The sequence below is a fragment of the Homo sapiens genome, chromosome 17, assembly GCF_000001405.40.
Source record: "Homo sapiens chromosome 17, GRCh38.p14 Primary Assembly".
Taxonomy (NCBI): Eukaryota; Metazoa; Chordata; class Mammalia; order Primates; family Hominidae; genus Homo; species Homo sapiens.
The window spans coordinates 6,090,553-6,107,309 of NC_000017.11; the positions used below are offsets into that span (position 1 = coordinate 6,090,553).

The following is a 16,757-nucleotide window of genomic DNA, read 5'->3' on the forward strand; positions in this document are numbered from 1 at the left end:
CTCTGGCTGCCCATCCCCCACAACCTCTCAATGAAACTACCTGGGGCAGAACCTGTGCCAACCTCTGCCCTCCCTTCCCTATTGCCATCACTGGACAGGCTCCTGGCAGGGCAGGGATGGGGTTAGGATCCATCGAAGGCTTAACTGCTTGAGTTCATGACTGAAGCATACCTTTGCCTGTCCCCTGCAGGAGAGAGAAACTGATTAGGGGGCCTGGGTATGCCTCAGACATGCTGTGTGGCCTCCGGCAGCTCACTGCCCCTCTCTGAGCTACGGTCTATTTTGTAAATTGCAGAGGGAGACCTAGATTTCTTTCTTTTTTTTAATTTTTATATTTGATTTTTTATTTTTGAGACAGAGTCTCACTCTGTCACCCAGGCCAGGCTAGAATGCAATGGCCCAATCTCGGCTCACTGCAACCCCCACCTCTCCGGTTCAAACAATTCTCCTGCCTCAGCCTCCCGAGGAGCTAGGATTACAGGCACCTGCCACCACACCCGGCTAATGTTTTTTGTATTTTTAGTAGAGACGGGGTTTCACCACATTGGCCAGGCTGGTCTTGAATTACTGACCTCAGGTGATCTGCCTGTCTCGGCCTCCCAGAGTGCTGGGATTACAGGCGTGAGCCACGCACCCATCCAGGAGACCTAGATTTCTAGCAGTGGTGTGAGCTAGATAATCAGAAAATTCCCTAACTATAAAGCACCTAGAAATGCTGCATAAAATTTAGCAAACATTATTGTAAATGCATAGCTGAACTAGCAGAAAAGTAAGGCAATCCCTTGGATCCAAAAATGAAGAAAGAACAAAGACCCACAGTGGAGAGAGTTAGAGATAGGCTGTGTGGCCGTGGGGCTCAGCGGAGGGAAGTCGCCAGGCTGCATGGCCACTCTGTTTGGGTCTTAATGTCCAAGCAGGATAGGGAAGGAGGCCTTGGGCTTCTCAGGGTAAGGAATTGGACCCTGAAGGGGCCCAGCTCAAAGGAGGAATGGGAAACTCAGGTTTGTCCTCACTGCAAGATGATGAGCACAAATCCGCTTCCTCTAATCACAGAAGGCTCCTTTGTAAAATAATAGGGCTGTGCACTGTTGCACATGCTGGGGGCCATTCTTTTCATGGCTGGGAGAGGCAGATTGGGAAGGAGTCAGAGCCTGGGAGACCACCCCCACCACTGGCAAGGGTAGGACAGTGGTGATGGAGGCAGAGGCACAGCCCAGGGTCCAGGCTCACCGCCTCTGGTCATGCCCTAGTAACAGGGCTCCAGGAGAGCTGACGGATTAGTTCAAGAATGGGGCAGAGCCCAGGTAAAGAGGTATTGGAACAGCCGGGCGCGGTGGCTCACGCCTGTAATCCCAGCACTTTGGGAGGCCAAGGCGGGCGAATCATGAGGTCAGGAGTTCGAGACCAGCCTGACCAACATGGTGAAAACCCGTCTCTACTAAAAATACAAAATTTGCCGGATGTGGTGGCAGGTGCCTGTAATCCTAGCTACTCAGGAGGCTGAGGCAGGAGAATCGCTTGAACCCGGGAGGCGGAGGTTGCAGTGAGCCAAAATCATGCCATTGTACTCCAGCCTGGGCGACAGAGTGAGACTCTGTCTCCAAAAAAAAAAAAAAAAAAAAGGTATTGGATCAAAAGCTAAGGCTTCACAGGGGTTCTGGGGAGGGCTGTCGAGTGAGTTTTCCAAGCAGCACAGAAGCCGAGCCCTGAGAACCGTGGGTGAACCTAAAGGCCACCCTGGCTGGCAACTGTCTGTGGGGTCACAGTGCCCAGAAGAGCTGCTCCGTGTTTGACCCCAGCTGACCGGGGCTTCTTAGATGCCTCTTGCATTCAGACAGGATGTGTCTGGGAGCTCAGGGGTCCAGATGGGGCAATGGGGACAGGGGCGGAGAAACTGACCACACATCGTTTAGCTGACAGGTTCACTAGTGACACCATGAACTTGGCAGTGTCTCACCGACACCTACTCTGCCAGGCCCTGACCTCATAGAGGGGTTTGCCATGGCACGTGGGCACAGTCCTATCCTGTCACCTGGACATGCAAACGGGCTTCCTGAGGACCAAACTGCTCCACGCTGGCTTCTTGGAGCTTTTATTTCTTTGGTTTCAAACAACATTCCTGCCCCCAAGTAAGACCAATTCTATATATGGACTCCCGGCGGCCCTCCCAGCCCCATCTGCCTGCTCAGTAATTGATTCTGAAAGGCAGTTGTTTTGCTTTAGGTTGCCCATGGATTAAGAGACAGATGGTCCAATCATTCAAGCCAGCCCTAGATCCGGAGTTGGCTGGACTTGCTGTCATGGTTAGTGTTGAAGATGGTGTCCTAGCTGCCTCTTTGGGCAGGCTGTGGAGCCCCCCGTGAGGTACCTTTGCCTTCCTGCCCCCTTCCTGAGGGAATGAGCTGACAGGATCTCTCTCAAGAGGTGACCAGGTGACCACCATTGTGAGCTGCAGCTTCTGCCAGCAAGGAGCATTCACAAGGAGTAAGACCCATGAATTTGCTCCCCAGGTTGGAATCGGAGTGGGTTCTGAGCAAGTCATCAACGTCTTCGCCTTGGAGGCGTCATTCTGCCAAGTGACCCTCAGGCTCCCACCTGGGGAATGAGGGAGACTGGACTGTACCAGGTGACAACCTGTGTCCTGAGAGTCGCATCAGTGAAGTGCGGAGGCAGCCAACACTTCCTTCTTTAGCGGCTCATGGACCACTCACCTGTTGCAGTATATGCAGTGCCTTCCTGCTTTATCTCATTCAGTTCATTCGTTCGCTCACCACGTAGTGGGCACCTGCTGTGTGTCAGGATCAGGGCTTGGTGTGGGGAACACAGGGGTCACCCAGGATGTAGCTTCCCCCCAGGAGCTGTGTTCTGGAGGCCTCATGGCCCCCTTTTGTCCCTCCCTGTGGCCCAGGGCTTGCTGAAATCTTGATCCCTCCCCCATCTCTGGATTGTGCCTACCCTGATGACTCTCCCCATTGTCTGTTCTATCCCCGTGGAGCTGGTTGAGGACCAGTGCCCAGTCCATTGAAATGTTTGTTCTTTGGGGCATCAATCATGCCAAAGAACAGGAAAGAGTTTTGTGAGCCCAGCACCTGCCACCACCCTCGACCTTGACACCAAAAGCCAGGGCAGACACACGGTGGTGGGGAGACATGGCCCCATCAGGGGATGTGCGTGGGTATACATTGTTCCTCATGACAACCCTAGGAACTACGCTGTATGTAGGTGAGGAAATTGAGAGTCTGAGCCCGAGACATGGCAGAGTTGCAGAGCTGGTCACTGGCAGTGCAAGGACTTGAACCTAAGCACTTATAACCCTAAGCCCTGGTGTTTTCCCCACACTAGGCTGTTGTCTGTGCCCTAATAGGTCGTGCCCTGACACGTGCACCACAGGTGCTGTGGTCAGTTGAGATGGGCTTCCAGATCCAGGGTTTGGTCCTACTTGGCAGATTCTGGCTGGTAAAAGGGTTTCTGTTTGCACCACGTGGTGTGGCAGCTAGAGAGCCAGGGGAGATACTGAGCCCTGGGAGACCCCGTGTAGAGAAGAGCATGGGGTAATAATCAGGATGCCATCTAGAGAAACCCTGATGAGTCTGGAAGAAATACGAGCAGTTGGTGCAAGAACATTCCAGAAAGTTTGTTCAGCTCCAAGGAAGCCAGCTAGGGCACTGGACTTTTCCACCTGGAGGCTCTACAGAGCAGCAGGAGGCTTGGCAGGAGGCTTCTTTGTAACATGGGCTTGAGGAGTTCCTAGAAATTGAGTGGGAGTTCAAGATCAGAGAGAGGCAAACCTTGCAAAGAGGCAAAGCAGTGGTATGACTCCAACGGCACAGCAAGAACAAACATGGCTGGGTTTCAGATTTCCATGTCTGCTTTTCTTTTAATGCATCTTCCGGTAGGACATTGAATTTTTCACAATATCAGCCTCTCAGGTCACCTACCATGGGAGGAATCTGGCACCTAGTAAAAGCACCATCCAAATTTGTTGAAGGAAGGAAGAAAGAAGGAAGGAAGGAAGGAAAAGGAAGGAGAAGGAAGGGAGGAAGGAAGGAAGGAAGGAGAAGGAAGGAAGGAAGGTAGGCAGGCCGGCAGGAAGGCTGGCATTATGGAGAACTGGCAGAAGCAAGAGAGGGAAGGAAGGAAGGAAGGAAGGGAGAGGGAAGGAAGGAAGAAAGGGAGGGAGGGAAGGAGGGAGGGAGGGAATGGAGAACTGGCAGAAGCAAGAGAAGGAAGGAAGGAAGGGAGGAAGGGAGGGAGGAAGGGAGGAAGGAATGACTTATGGAGAACTGGCAGAAGCAAGAGCTGAGCGCTGCAGTTTCAGCCAAGTGGTCCCTTGTAGATGACCCTGGACGGTCAAGGTGCTGATGCCTGGTTTCTCTCAGAAGCTCAGCATGACTATGTCCCATGCAGGGCCGTTTTCCCTCCCTGATTTGAACTCGCCTCGTAAGTTTATTTATACCTGTCTCAGGACCTAAAGCCAGCATTTTCCCTGGTGACAGGCACCAACAACTGGACACCATCTCTTACCAGAAACCCCTCTCTTTTCCCCCAGGGCGGACCGCCACCTACCGCGGATGCTTCCGACTGCCAGAGAACATCACACATGCCTTCCCCAGCTCCCTGATACAGGCCAATGTGACCGTGGGGACTTGCTCGGGCTTTTGTTCCCAGAAAGTAAGACCAAGTGATCATTTCACAACCCTTTCCTTTAAGTGTGTGTGGTGGTCCTGAGAGAGGGGGGCACATGTGCTGGGCTGCGGGTGTCCCCTCTGGCAGTCCAGATGGGAGCAGAGGAAGGGGGCATGGATGGGAGGCAGGCACCAGGTACCACAGAGGGAGCCGGCAGGGAGCCCTTCGCCTCTGTCCACCATGTGAGGCTGGGTGGGGAATTGTCAGCAAGGCTTGTAAAGCCGAAAGGAGAGTGCCTTTCTGGATGCGAACTCTTGCCACAAGTGTCAGATGTTAAATTGACTTGGTTTGGAAGCCAGAAGATGCTGGCTCGGGACTTGGGGATAGCTGATGGATTTTCTGTTATTGGTGCTGACGGTGTTGGGCCGTGAATCTGATGACAGGGGCTGGAGCCACACTTGCATCTTTGGTTTAGCCTGGGCTGAGGAGTAGAGCGTGACCCCATGGAGGGGCAGGGCTAGGCACCAAAGGCCACTGACCCCGCATTGCATGGTAGCTCTGGGGTGGGGAAAGTTGGTCAAGGCCAGAGGTGGCTTGCAAAAAGCAGGGCCTGGAGTGTGTGAAGCAAGGCTGGGGGAGACCCAGCAGACTGTGTCCAAAGAACATTGAGATCTCGGGCTGGAGTCAGGCAGACTCCAGATTGGGGTGGATGCTGTGGCTCTAGAAATGGCCCTTGGTGGCAGTAGGCTTGGGGCTGGGGCTGTTTCACATGCGCTGGGATTGCTGTACCCTCAATGTGGCTTTGATACTTGGCAATGTAATAGAACAGGGCTAAGGTGAGAGGATGGCCTTGGCCAGGATGATGATGACGATTATGACAATCAACAGAAGCTGCCATTCGTTGATCGCTCATTCCATGCCAGGTACTGTTCCAAGCGCTTTATGGGTTAACTCATTTAATCCTCCTAACAACCCTACAGCTAGGTGCTGTGATTATCTGCATTTTCCAGGTGAGGAAACTGAGGCAGAGGGTTTGAGCCGTGTGCCTGAGGTCACACAGCCAGTAAGTGGTGGGGTCAGGGTTTGAACTCAGGTAGCTCCATAGTCTGCTGTGGGTTGAAGGGTGCAGGGGTGGACTTCAATGACAGCAGATGTGATCGGATCTGCAGGAGCAGCACAGCCATCCTCTGCTGCACCCCCCCACTCCCGCTCTCCCTGCTTCATGTGTTCCTCCGCACTCTGGGGACACCTCCCTTGGAGGGGGCTGGAGAACAAGGGGGCTGGACACCTCCCTTGGAGGGGGCTGGAGGGGGCTTTCATATGTGCTTTCTTCTTGTCCAAGTGCATCCTTTGAAGTGGCTCTCCTGCGTCACCAGCATTTCCGAAGCCACAGCCAAGGATGTCTTGGGCATCAGGGCACCCACGACACAATTAAATGAGCCAAAAAGGCAGTTTGTTGATTTGCGGACATCTGGCCTGGGGACCTCCTCATCCCTTCTCCTCCTCATGGGAGCAGAGCGATGGGTAGAGGCAGCAAGGATGCGCGCTCAGCTGCCGGCCCTGCTGGTGCTCTCAGGAGAATGAGCCACCCTCCTAGGGCTTCCCTCACACCTGCAGCTCAGAGCAGTTCCCTTGAGAGGCCCTCTGGTTGGAATCAAAGGAACTCTGTGGTCCAGACCAGGCTGGAGGCAGGCCTGCCTTGAGCAACCAGCTTGGATAGTCCTGCTGTGTGCTGGGCATGGCACTAGGAGCCTTCCTGCGGGGGGTTATCTGCTTTAATCCTCCCAGTAGCTCCCAATGGGGGATACTCAGATGCCTGCTTGCTGCGAGAGGCTGGGCAGGTGTGCAGAGCTGAGAGCCCTCAAACACAGGCACAGAGTGGCCGGCTTTGCAGCTCCTGCTCCTGATGCCACACACAGCCACACACTGGCACAGAGCGGCCGGCTTTGCAGCCCTTGCTCCTGACGCCACACACAGCCCGTGGTTTTACACACTGCTGCCATTCGGCGTTATGGAAGGGGGAAGAGACGGAGAAGATGAGGAGGAAGAGAAGGGAAAGAAAGGGGTGGCCATTGTGGCCATGAGCCATTAGTGTTTCGGACTAGTTTTAAATAGGAACATGCTTACTTGGAGCATAATGAAGACGCCAAAGGGCATAGCAGGGAAGCCTTCCTCTCACTCCATGCATTTCCTTGCCTGGATTGTCCTGGCTTCTCATGTCTACTTCCAGAGAGACTGAATATTCAAGCAACTGCATCCTTGCCCATTCTCTAACAAGCCCCGCAGCCGGGCAGGAGCTGCACCCGCCCTTCTGCACTGAACTCTTCACCGGACAGCCTGTCTCGGAGATTGTCTCACGTCGCGACACAAAGTGCTTTCTCATTCTTTTTTACCATTGCACGGAGGTCCTATAATTTATTTAACCAGTTTAGCATTTCGCCTATTTCCAGCCTTCACAAACGATGCGGCAGTGACTACCTGTGTATGTACGTAGATCACTTTGTGTGAGTGAATCTGTAAGAAAAATATTCCTTGGAGATGCTGGGTCAAAGACTGAGTGTCTTTATCATTTTGGTAAACTTTGTCAGGTTGTCCTTGGCGAGGATTGTATTCATTTTATACCCCGATCAGTGATGTGTGAGGGGGAGGCAAGGCACCCTCGTAACCCTTATTTTGTGTGTGTTGGGGGGCTCAAAGCAGCATTTTAGGCAGATGCCTCAGTTTTCTGGGGGTCCTCCCTTTGTGTACCTCATTAGGGCCCAGAGAGTTCTTTCTTTTTTTTTTTTTTTTGAGACAGTGTTCCGCTCTGATGCCCAGGTTGGAGTGCAGTGGTGTGATCATAGCTCACTGTAGCCTCTGGCTCCTGGGCTCAAGTGATCCTCCCACCTTGGCCTCCTGAGTAGCTGTGACTACAGGCACACACTACCATGCCCAGCTAATTTTTTTGTGTATTTTTTGCAGAGACAGGGGGGCGGGGTGGGGGGGGTCTCACCAAGTTGCCCAGACTGGTCTTGAACTCCTGGGCTCAAGCAATCTGCCCTCCTTGGCCTCCCAAAGTGCTGGGATTACAAGCATGAGCCACTGTGCCCGGCTGGTCCAGAGAGTTTGTATTTGTGATTACAGACAAGAATTTAAAGGCTTATAACTCTTCAACTTGTATTTTCAGCCTTCCTTCATATTTACTGGCATAAATCCAGATTGCTGCAGTTTCACACTGGAGCATGTGCCAGAAGATACACGCAGGCTCTTGGTGTCTTGTGCTATCACACATTAGCACCTTGTCCATCTCCCCTCACAACGCATTTCAAGGACAAGTTCCCTTCTCTGCTATGGCCGGAGCAGTCGTGAATTGTTTGGGTCAGAACTACATGGAAAGGGCATCCAGGTTTCTCAGAAACAGCCTCTGTCCTCAGCACTCACAACACTGGAGCCAGTGCTGACACCTGATCCTTATCCGGGCTGCCTCTGCGTGGTCAGATGGGACTGGGAGGGTGGTGTTTCCTGAGTTCCATTGTTTAGGGCTGCAACATTTGCAGCTGTGAGGAACAGAGTCATCATTTCCAGCTTTAAAGTTTAAAGTGGGTATTGGCAGCGCATATTTAGTGGGACTTGGCAAAACGCAAATGCTGAGACGGTGGGCACAGCCAGGGGCAGGTGACTCTCACTGGTGGCAGAGTAAGGGCAGTGCCTGAAGAAGGTGAAGAAGGCTTGGAAGGAGGCTGAGAAAGGAAGATGGTTGCAACTTTTGGGAAGGGTTGGAACTGGAGGATGTGGGGCAGTGTTGGCAGGTGGCTGAGGGGATTAAGGAGTGTGTTCCAAGAAGAGGCAACTGCTGAGCAGGAACCAGGTGGCAGGAAAGCAGCCCAGGTGGCCCAGCGTGCAGGGTTACTTGGGGGGCTGTGAAAGGTCAGGGGGTACAAATTGCAGAGGGCTTTGTGATACAAGAGTTATTAAGAAGTTATTTTAGGCAGAAAGTAAGGTTCTGGGTGGAAATTTTCCTGTAATAAGAAACAACCCCCAAACCATCTCTTTTCTAACAGAAAAGGCGGCTTAAAGGGCCAGGCACGGTGGCTCATGCCTGTAATCCCTGCACTTTGGGAGGCTGAGGTGGGCGGATCATGAGTTCAAGAGATTGTGACCATCCTGGCCAACATGGTGAAACACTGTCTCTACTAAAAATACAAAAATTAGCCAGGTGTGGTGGCGCCTGCCTGTAGGCCTAGCTACTCAGGAGACTGAGGGAGGAGAATCGCTTGAACCCAGGAGGCAGAGGTTGCAGTGAGCCGAGATCACACCACCGCGCTCCAGCCTGGGCGACAGAGCAAGACTCTGTCTCAAAAACAAAAAAAAAAAGAGAGCAACTGGGTTCACTCAATATGGTGATTCCCACTGTCTTTTCCTTGTTACCAGGTGTACCGAGTGTCATGGCCACCTCCAGATAACACCATGTGTTCAGAACATCATGATGACCTGCATTTGCATATTAAAGGACTAAGGTGGGAGGGCCAGGTTTTTCAAGGGCTACGTAAATGACACACCTGGTCAAACCAATCCCCTGGGCCTTATGGAACGCAGACACCGCTTCCTCCAGCATCCCAATATAAGCAGCCACTTTTCCGCTGCACACGGGGTTTTCTCTTTGTTCAAATCCCCCCTCCCTCTGTCTCTGTACGGGGAGCTGTTTTCTTCTTCCTTCCTTCTTTCTTGCCTGTTAAACTTTTCACTCCTTAAAATCACCCCACATGTGTCCATGTCTAAACCGGCACGAGACCAAGAACCCTGGTGTCCCTCCAGTCATCAGAGCCATATAGCTTGAATGCCTGCCTCAAGGTTGAGACTTTTTTCAGTGGGTGGGAGGGGCTGGTATGGCTTGTGTGGCACTTTATAGCTGCAGGTAGGATGTTCTGGAGCACGGAGAGGATGAGAGCTAATAAAGAAGGGAGTAGGTCTAAGAGACACCACAGGGTTGGAATCCACAAGAGAGGATGTGGGGGCATGAAAGAAGGAGTGGGAACCCCCAGGGAGGAGGATGAGGCATGGATGGGTTTGTGGGTGAGCGGGGCAGCTGACCTGTCCAATGTGGGAGGGAAGTTCTCCTTGGATCCTTCTGGGATACAGCATTTCTCAGGGGTACCCTCAGAGATGCCTTGGCAAAGCTGCCACAGAAGTCGACCTGTGACCTGGTTCTGGAGTTAGGGATTTCAGGTAGGGCAAGAACAGTGCCCTGGATGTCATGCCTTTAAGTCAAACCGCCATCTGCCCAACGGAGCGAGCCTTTGGCTCCCAGATTGTCCATCCATTCTCGCTTGTCTCGCCCGTGGATGTGGGTGTAACTTGAACTCAAACCGTCTGTACTGTTAGCCCCTCAGCTCTGAGCTCTGCAGATGCCTGGCAGGGGTTTTGCTGGAATTCTGACTTCACTCTAGAGCAGGGGTTCACAGCCTTGGATCTGTTGGCATTTGGGGTTGGATATTACTCATGTTGGGATCTGTCTGTGCATTGTAGGATATCTAGCAGCATCCCTAGCCTCTACCCACTAGATGCCAACAGCCCATATTCCCTCAGTTGTGACACACAGTCCCCACACATTGCCGTATGTCCTCTGGAGGGTAAAATCACCCCTGGTTGAGAACCACAGCCCTGGAGAGCCACCTGAAGATGCCAGGCAGCCATGCCCAGTCATGGCCCATATCCCCGTGGGGCTGAATCCTGGGGAGCAATGGTCTCTTCCAACCATTGTGAGGATGGAGAAGCAAATTCTCCCTCTAGTATTGAGGTCTGATGGATGTGAAATTGTTTGGAAGTTGATCTGACCCAGACCTGCAGAGGCCAGAGAACTCTTTGCAGGGAATGGTATCCTCTCTTCCCTCCTGAATGTTGAGGGTGGCGAGAGAGGTGAATCTGGGGATGTCTGGCCGTATTTGCCTGCTCTGAAGTGCCAAGCACGTCCTCTCTGGAAAGGCCAGTGGTGTGGAGGCTGCCTGGCAGTCCCGGTGGCAGCTTTATCTCATCCTAATTTGGCCGAAAAACAAGCTCAAATGTCCTATGATGTGGGAATGGTTAAATTATGCCACGGCCATACAGTGGACTATAATACAACCATTGAAAATGTTTTCAAAGACTTTGATGATGGAAAATGCTCACAGTAGAATGTTAAATGGGGCAGAGCTGAGCCTGGGGGTAGGAAGCTAGGGGCTTAATTAGAGCTGGCCGGGCAGTGGGGCTGGGAGCAGCAGATGTGAGAGGTGGGGCTTGGAAACAGGAAAAGAGGAGGGGGTTCCTTGTAGTGCCCCCACCTTTGAGCACCATCTGAGGCTTATTTGTGGCCCCAGATAAAATGTCTACTGTTTTTGCTAGTTCGCGAAAATGGATTTGGGGAGATCCAAGAGTGTAGTTTGACAGAAAAAGAACATTCCAGGTGATATCTGCATCTTAATGATCTGACTCTCTGCCAGCAAGAGGGAATTGACCAATGTAATGTGTTTTTAAAGCCCAGTGAAATGATCTTGTCTAATTTCCTGTGATCGTATGGAGATGGAAAGAGACCTGCTCATTCTCAGTCCCCTTCAGGATCCTATCGGCTCCTTTGTTTCAACGCAAGGCAAGAGTGAGCAGGGGGCAGCTTCGATATTTGCATTGCTACCAATTCAGATCTGGGGTAATTAGTTTTGTCGCCTGATATTTGTGCTCAAGTAGATAGGCCATTTGTGGGGGTGCTCCGAAAGGAGGCTGATGAGCGAAATCTAACACCATCTGCAAATAGGTTACTAATGTGAGACACTCCACCGGCGATTATACCTTGTGATGTGAGGTTTGTTCTCCCAGCTGCTGTTAGTGATTCTACTGATAAAGGAATCGCAGGGAGAGGAGGAAGAAAGGTGTTGAGCTTTCTTTTTCCCCTCTTTTAGCCTCTTTTGGGCGTCTAAATTCTTTACGCATTAATCACCTGGATGTTTTCCCATTGACATTTCTTCTAAGTTTTTTTGCTTGTTTGGCCATTTAATGGTGGTGCTCATCTAGCCACCTTTCAAATGGAAAAGCATGCATTAATATGGAACCTGTTTGTTCTCAGCTGGGCAGCTGCTCTTGCAAAATCCACTTGGATTCCAATAGATTCGGTCTATCCAAGGTAGCCTTATGGTCTCCATGGGGCACCCAAGTTCATGTCTTTGCCAATGGTTGGGTCTGTAAGAGTCTGGGTTTTGTGAGCCTTGAGAATAAGAATTTTCTCTTTGACAAAATGCTGTAGTCATTCCAAGAGCTATTGGATATGCTTTGAATTGCTTATAAAAAGTCTGTGGTAAACCTGTTGATACTGTACTCTCTGCATATTTTGAAAAACACGTATTGTTTGTTTTTCTGGGGGGTTAACACATATCTATTTTAGAGAATTTGAAAATTTTCCAAGTGCAGAAATAAAAATAGAATGCACCTGTAACAACTAATAACATTGAACATCTTTTTGGTCTTTTGTTCTAGGTGTATCTCTACGTAATTTGTTTTATAAACATTGACTCATTCCTTCTCACATTTGTTCCTTTTTCTCATTGAATATGTTGTGAGCATTTTCTTTCACCGTGCTATGCCTTATCGCTTATTGGCATTCTGTCCTCTCCTGAGGGACATTTAGGCCATTTCCTTTCTTTTTTTTTCTTTTTCCTTATTGCTGTTATAAACAATGCTGCCACAAACATCCTTGAAAATAAACCTTTGAGCCCATTCATAAGTATTTCATTGGGCTATATTGGCAGATAAGGAATTGCTGGGGCAAAGGATAGGTACATTTTATATGAGCCCTTTTAAGACTTTTTATACATTTTGGGAAGTGTGTCTTCTAGCCTCATCCTTCTGAAGCTGGTAAAAGGGCTTTAGAGTCGTGGTAACCTGGGTTCATACTCCTACTCCACCACTTTCTCATTTTGTGATCCTGGCCAGGTCACATAACACAGAGCCTTAGTTTTCTCGTCTGCTAAATGGGATGGGTGGAGATGAAAGTGCCTCACCAGACTGTGATGAGGATTCAGTGACTTTGTGGGCACGAACAGTTTTGTGATTTATGTTTTGGGGTGTGTCTGGAGTAGCAAGTGTTCCAGACAATGCTTATGATCATTGTGATTATTCAGTGTCCCCTAGTTCTTTCAGTGTGTGGGGGATGTTTGAGAAACTTCCTGGGATGAAGAGCCAGTCCTTTCCCAGGTCAGTGGAAAGCCAGGTACCTTAGGATCCCAATGGTTGGGCGGTTCTGAGTCACACTGTGTTTCACAGACTCTTCTGTCTGAAGGATGTTTGTTTGGCTTTGATAGGGATGGTGTTACCTGGGGTGGTTGGTGGGTTAAGTAGGTCTGCTGTCTGGGGCTCAAGTCTTCAGAGAGCCATCTGCCCCTGGAGACATCCCACATCCCACAGGGTCCCCTGGAGACACTCTGACATTTGCCACAAACAATCATGCTTGGCCTGCTCTCATATGCATAGAGTGGATATTGCAGCCTCTGTTTAGAGTGTGTGCTACAGCGCACGGAGAAGGGGACTGGTGAGTGTACTCTTTTTGTGGAGAAAAGTGAATGCTGTGGGGGTGGGAGGAAGCCCCTGCCTCTGACCCCATGCATTTGCCTCCCCTGGACTCAGCCCATCCATGCTTACTGAGTGTCTACTCTCTGAAAGGCACTTCAAGAGTATTTCAATCCCCAGATCCACCATATGGATGGAGGAACCAAGACTCAATTCAGCTAAATTTAAACTCACACCTATAGACTCCAGAGCCTGTGTTAGCCCATTTGCATTGCTATAAAGGAATACCTGAGGCTGAGTAATTTATAAAGAAAAGAGGCTTATTTGGCTCATGGTTCTGCAAGTTGCATAAGTATGGCCCTAGCATCTGCTTCCGGTGAGGCCTCAGGAAGCTTCCAATCATGGTAGAAGGTGAAGGGGGAGCCAGCATATCTCATGGTGAGAGATGGAGCAAGAGATGGGGAGGAGGTGCCAGGCTCCTATAAACAACCAGCTGTCCGTGAACTGAGAGCAAGAACTCCCTCATTCATTACCAAGCGGATGGTGCTAAGCCATTCATAAGGCATCCCCACCCCTATGATCTAACCCCTCCAACCAGGCCCCACCTCCAACATTGGGGGTCACATTTCAGTATGAGATTTGGAGGGGACACACATCCAAACTCTGTGAGAGCCCTTAGTCATTAAACTGCAAGCCCTTTTACAGATGATAAAGCCAAGGCTCAGAGATGCCCAGTTGCTCGTTGGCAGTCCATGGATGGGATTCAAAGCCCACAGTTCCTGATGACAAGCTTTGTGTTGGTTCCACTCCCAGCATCTGCCTCTCCAAATCACAAGGCCCCATTCTCAGTTACAGCATCACTGGACAAGTTTTCAGCCAACCTGACATATGCCTGAAAGCAAAAGTCTGTCCCCTTTGTCCCCAGTCCTTGAAGTCATCTTTGTGGGTGTCTTCTTTCCTTTTTGTACCTTGAATATCCAGATCTGCCTCTGGAGTGAAGGGAACTGCTCTGGAGGCAAGAGACTGGCAGAGCTAACCTCCATATTGGTTTGCAGATTTCACTGGAAACCCAGCACATCCATGTATTTGCCTCTTAGGAGTTGAGCTGTGTTGATGTGGCAAGGTCCTGGACTTGGAGTCCAGAAGGCTGGCTCCTTTTCCCACTCACCTGGCAGGCTGGGCATCCTGGGCTGTTCACTGCCTACCTCCGAGCCTCAGTTTCCCCTTCTGTGATCCCTGAAATCTCTGTCATTCTGTGTAACCCTGGGGATCCTAGAAAAGTGCTCAAGGAGGACTGAAGATGGAGGAGATGATGCCGAGAGGGGCTGGTTTGTTACAGAGGTCCCGCCTGGAACCTTGCTCCTTACCTGGAGGAATGTTCACTCCTTGACCTAGTGGCCACAGACCAAGCCTCCCGCATGTGGATCCCCGCCAGCCTCAGAGCCCTGCCCTTGCTGAGTCATGACCTTGCTCTAGGCTGAATGCCCACCCATACCTCAGCCCAGCCCAGCACTAGCCGTGCGTCCAGACCGACCCAGGCTCAGGCTGTAGATGCAGGATCAGGATGAGGATGCATATCTTTCTGCCCTCGGACACAGGCTGAGCCAGCTCTTTCTTTAACCCCTCACCTGTCTGATTGAAACAATCCCAAATCTATCTTCTCACTTTCTTTTTTTGCCTTGTATTCTTGGATCCTTTTTTCCTCTTCTTTCTCTCACTGAAGCACCCTTTCTCTCTCTCACTGAAGCATAGGGTAGGGTGCGAGAAGCAGGGAAGTTGGCAGAGAGATAAGATTCATCAATATTTAATTTTTATGGAAATCATGTCCTAGAAATCCCCAAGGGGCTGAAAATTGTACTGTGTTTTCAGAATCCAGTGATGTTGCTGGAGCGGTGATGTTGTAAATAAAACCACATTACTGTCTGCAGCTCTCCTGTCGCTCTGCAAACACCCGGAAACTTGACAGTTTAATCCACTCAAGGAAGCAAAAAGGTTCGGGTCACTGCTGGGGGCAGCCCATTCTCCAGTCCTGGGATATAAGATTGTGGGGCATCAACGTCAGTGGGGCTGTTACTGCTGGGAAGGGAGACGGAGCCAGCGTGCCTTGAGTAGATTTACCATGCTGGTGGATTTTTTTTCCTCGGAACAGGAATCCCAGGACAGCAGAGCCCCCTCTGGGCTTTCTGATATGGGGAAGATTTGCTTAGAGATAGCGGCTTTTCTTTTCCCTCATGCCTGTGGTGCAGTTAACCCAATGACCAGCAGAAAAATCAGACTCAAGTTAGTTTCCAGCAGCTTCTGGTGCAATTGGGATTTGGAAGGGACATTCATTTGCTTCTTCATTCATTCACTCATTCATTCATTTCTTCATTCATCAAACATTTATTGAGCATCTGCCATGTGCAAGGCACTTTTCTAGATTCTGAGAATATAACAAAGCACACAAAAAACACAACAACCCTGCTTATGTTCTTGTGGAAAGAGGCAGACAACCAACCAGGTAAGTAAATTATATAGTATGTTGTATGGTGATCTGTGTCATGGAGGAAAAGGAAGTAGGAATCATAGGTGTTTACCCATGAGAAATGCAAACTTTTTTGGACCAAAGGCTTGCACAAGAATGTTCAGAGGAGCATTATTCACAATAGCTAAAAACCGGGAACAGCCCAGGTGTCAATCACTAGTGGATGAATCAACAAACCAGTGCATTCTTGGATGGAATACTACACAGCAATGAAAAAGGAATGATCCACAGACACAGATAACAACATGAATGGATTTGACAAATGTTTTTCTGAATGAAAGAAGCCAGGCACACAAAAAACATGTGCTGGGTGATTCTATTTATATGACATTCCAGTATAGATAAAACGAATCCATGGTGATAGAAATCTGAAAGGTGGTTGCTCTGGGGAGGGAAGGAGGATGGTGAATGGGGAGAGGGGCCTCCGGTGTCACCGATGTGCTGCCTGTCTTGATTGAATGGTACACCTGGGATCAGAGCATGTCATCAGATAGGTTAGTACACAAAACTGTAAAGCATGGTGAGGGAATAGCATGTGGTGGTGATGGTGGGAAGGGTTTGCAACTTGAAAAGGGGGTGGCCAGGGAAGGCCCCACAGAGAAGGTGACTTGAAGAAAGTGAGGGAGAGAGCTATGAGGGTATCTGGGTGAAGGGCATTCCTGGCAGGGGGAACAGCAAGTGCAAAGGCCCTGAGGTGGGATCATGAGTGGAGAAGTCAGGGAACAGCAAGGAAACCACTGCATTCATCAACTTGGCTGCTATGAGAGCGTGCCACAGACTGGGCAGTGTAAACAACAGACATTTATTTTCTCATTCTGGAAGCTGAAAGTCTGAGATCAAGGTCTCAGCAGGGTTGGTTTCTTCCGAGGCCTCCCCACTTGGCTTGCAGATGGAAGCCTTCTTACTGTGTCCTTGTGTGCTTGTCCCTTGGTCTGTGTGTTGGCTGTATCCTAACCTCCTCTTCTTGTAAGGACCTTTGTCGTATTAGATTAGGGCCTACCCTGATGGCCTCATTTGAACTTAATTATCTCTGTAATCCCAGCACTTTGGGAGGCTGAGGCGGGCAGATCATCTGAGGTCAGGAGTTCAAGACCAGACT

General features: G+C 50.3%; 1 protein-coding gene across 11 annotated transcripts in view, besides 3 other annotated features; it reads left to right on the forward strand.

Moving 5' to 3' along the window:
• The window catches only part of WSCD1 (WSC domain containing 1), a 55,312-nt gene that overhangs the window by 21,437 nt on the left and 17,118 nt on the right, over positions 1 to 16,757 (forward strand). For 9 of the 11 annotated variants that reach the window (NM_001388408.1, NM_001388405.1, NM_001388407.1 and 6 more), the window contains one exon: positions 4,550 to 4,671. In NM_001388408.1, the coding sequence (NP_001375337.1) occupies positions 4,550 to 4,671 (122 nt within the window). Of the gene's footprint in view, positions 1 to 4,549; positions 4,672 to 9,036; positions 12,072 to 16,757 lie in introns of those variants that run through there. The other 2 variants (NM_001388411.1, NM_001388410.1) reach the window with 1 other exon arrangement.
• Positions 5,376 to 6,276: an enhancer, noted in NCBI's record as "H3K27ac-H3K4me1 hESC enhancer chr17:5999248-6000148 (GRCh37/hg19 assembly coordinates)". NCBI's record gives its function as "activates a minimal SCP1, AML or CMV promoter by ChIP-STARR-seq in primed H9 embryonic stem cells {active_cell/tissue: H9 hESC(primed)}" and the evidence as "EXISTENCE:reporter gene assay evidence [ECO:0000049][PMID:30033119]".
• Positions 6,277 to 7,175: an enhancer, noted in NCBI's record as "H3K27ac-H3K4me1 hESC enhancer chr17:6000149-6001047 (GRCh37/hg19 assembly coordinates)". NCBI's record gives its function as "activates a minimal SCP1, AML or CMV promoter by ChIP-STARR-seq in primed H9 embryonic stem cells {active_cell/tissue: H9 hESC(primed)}" and the evidence as "EXISTENCE:reporter gene assay evidence [ECO:0000049][PMID:30033119]".
• Positions 7,809 to 8,576: an enhancer, noted in NCBI's record as "H3K27ac-H3K4me1 hESC enhancer chr17:6001681-6002448 (GRCh37/hg19 assembly coordinates)". NCBI's record gives its function as "activates a minimal SCP1, AML or CMV promoter by ChIP-STARR-seq in naive H9 embryonic stem cells {active_cell/tissue: H9 hESC(naive)}" and the evidence as "EXISTENCE:reporter gene assay evidence [ECO:0000049][PMID:30033119]".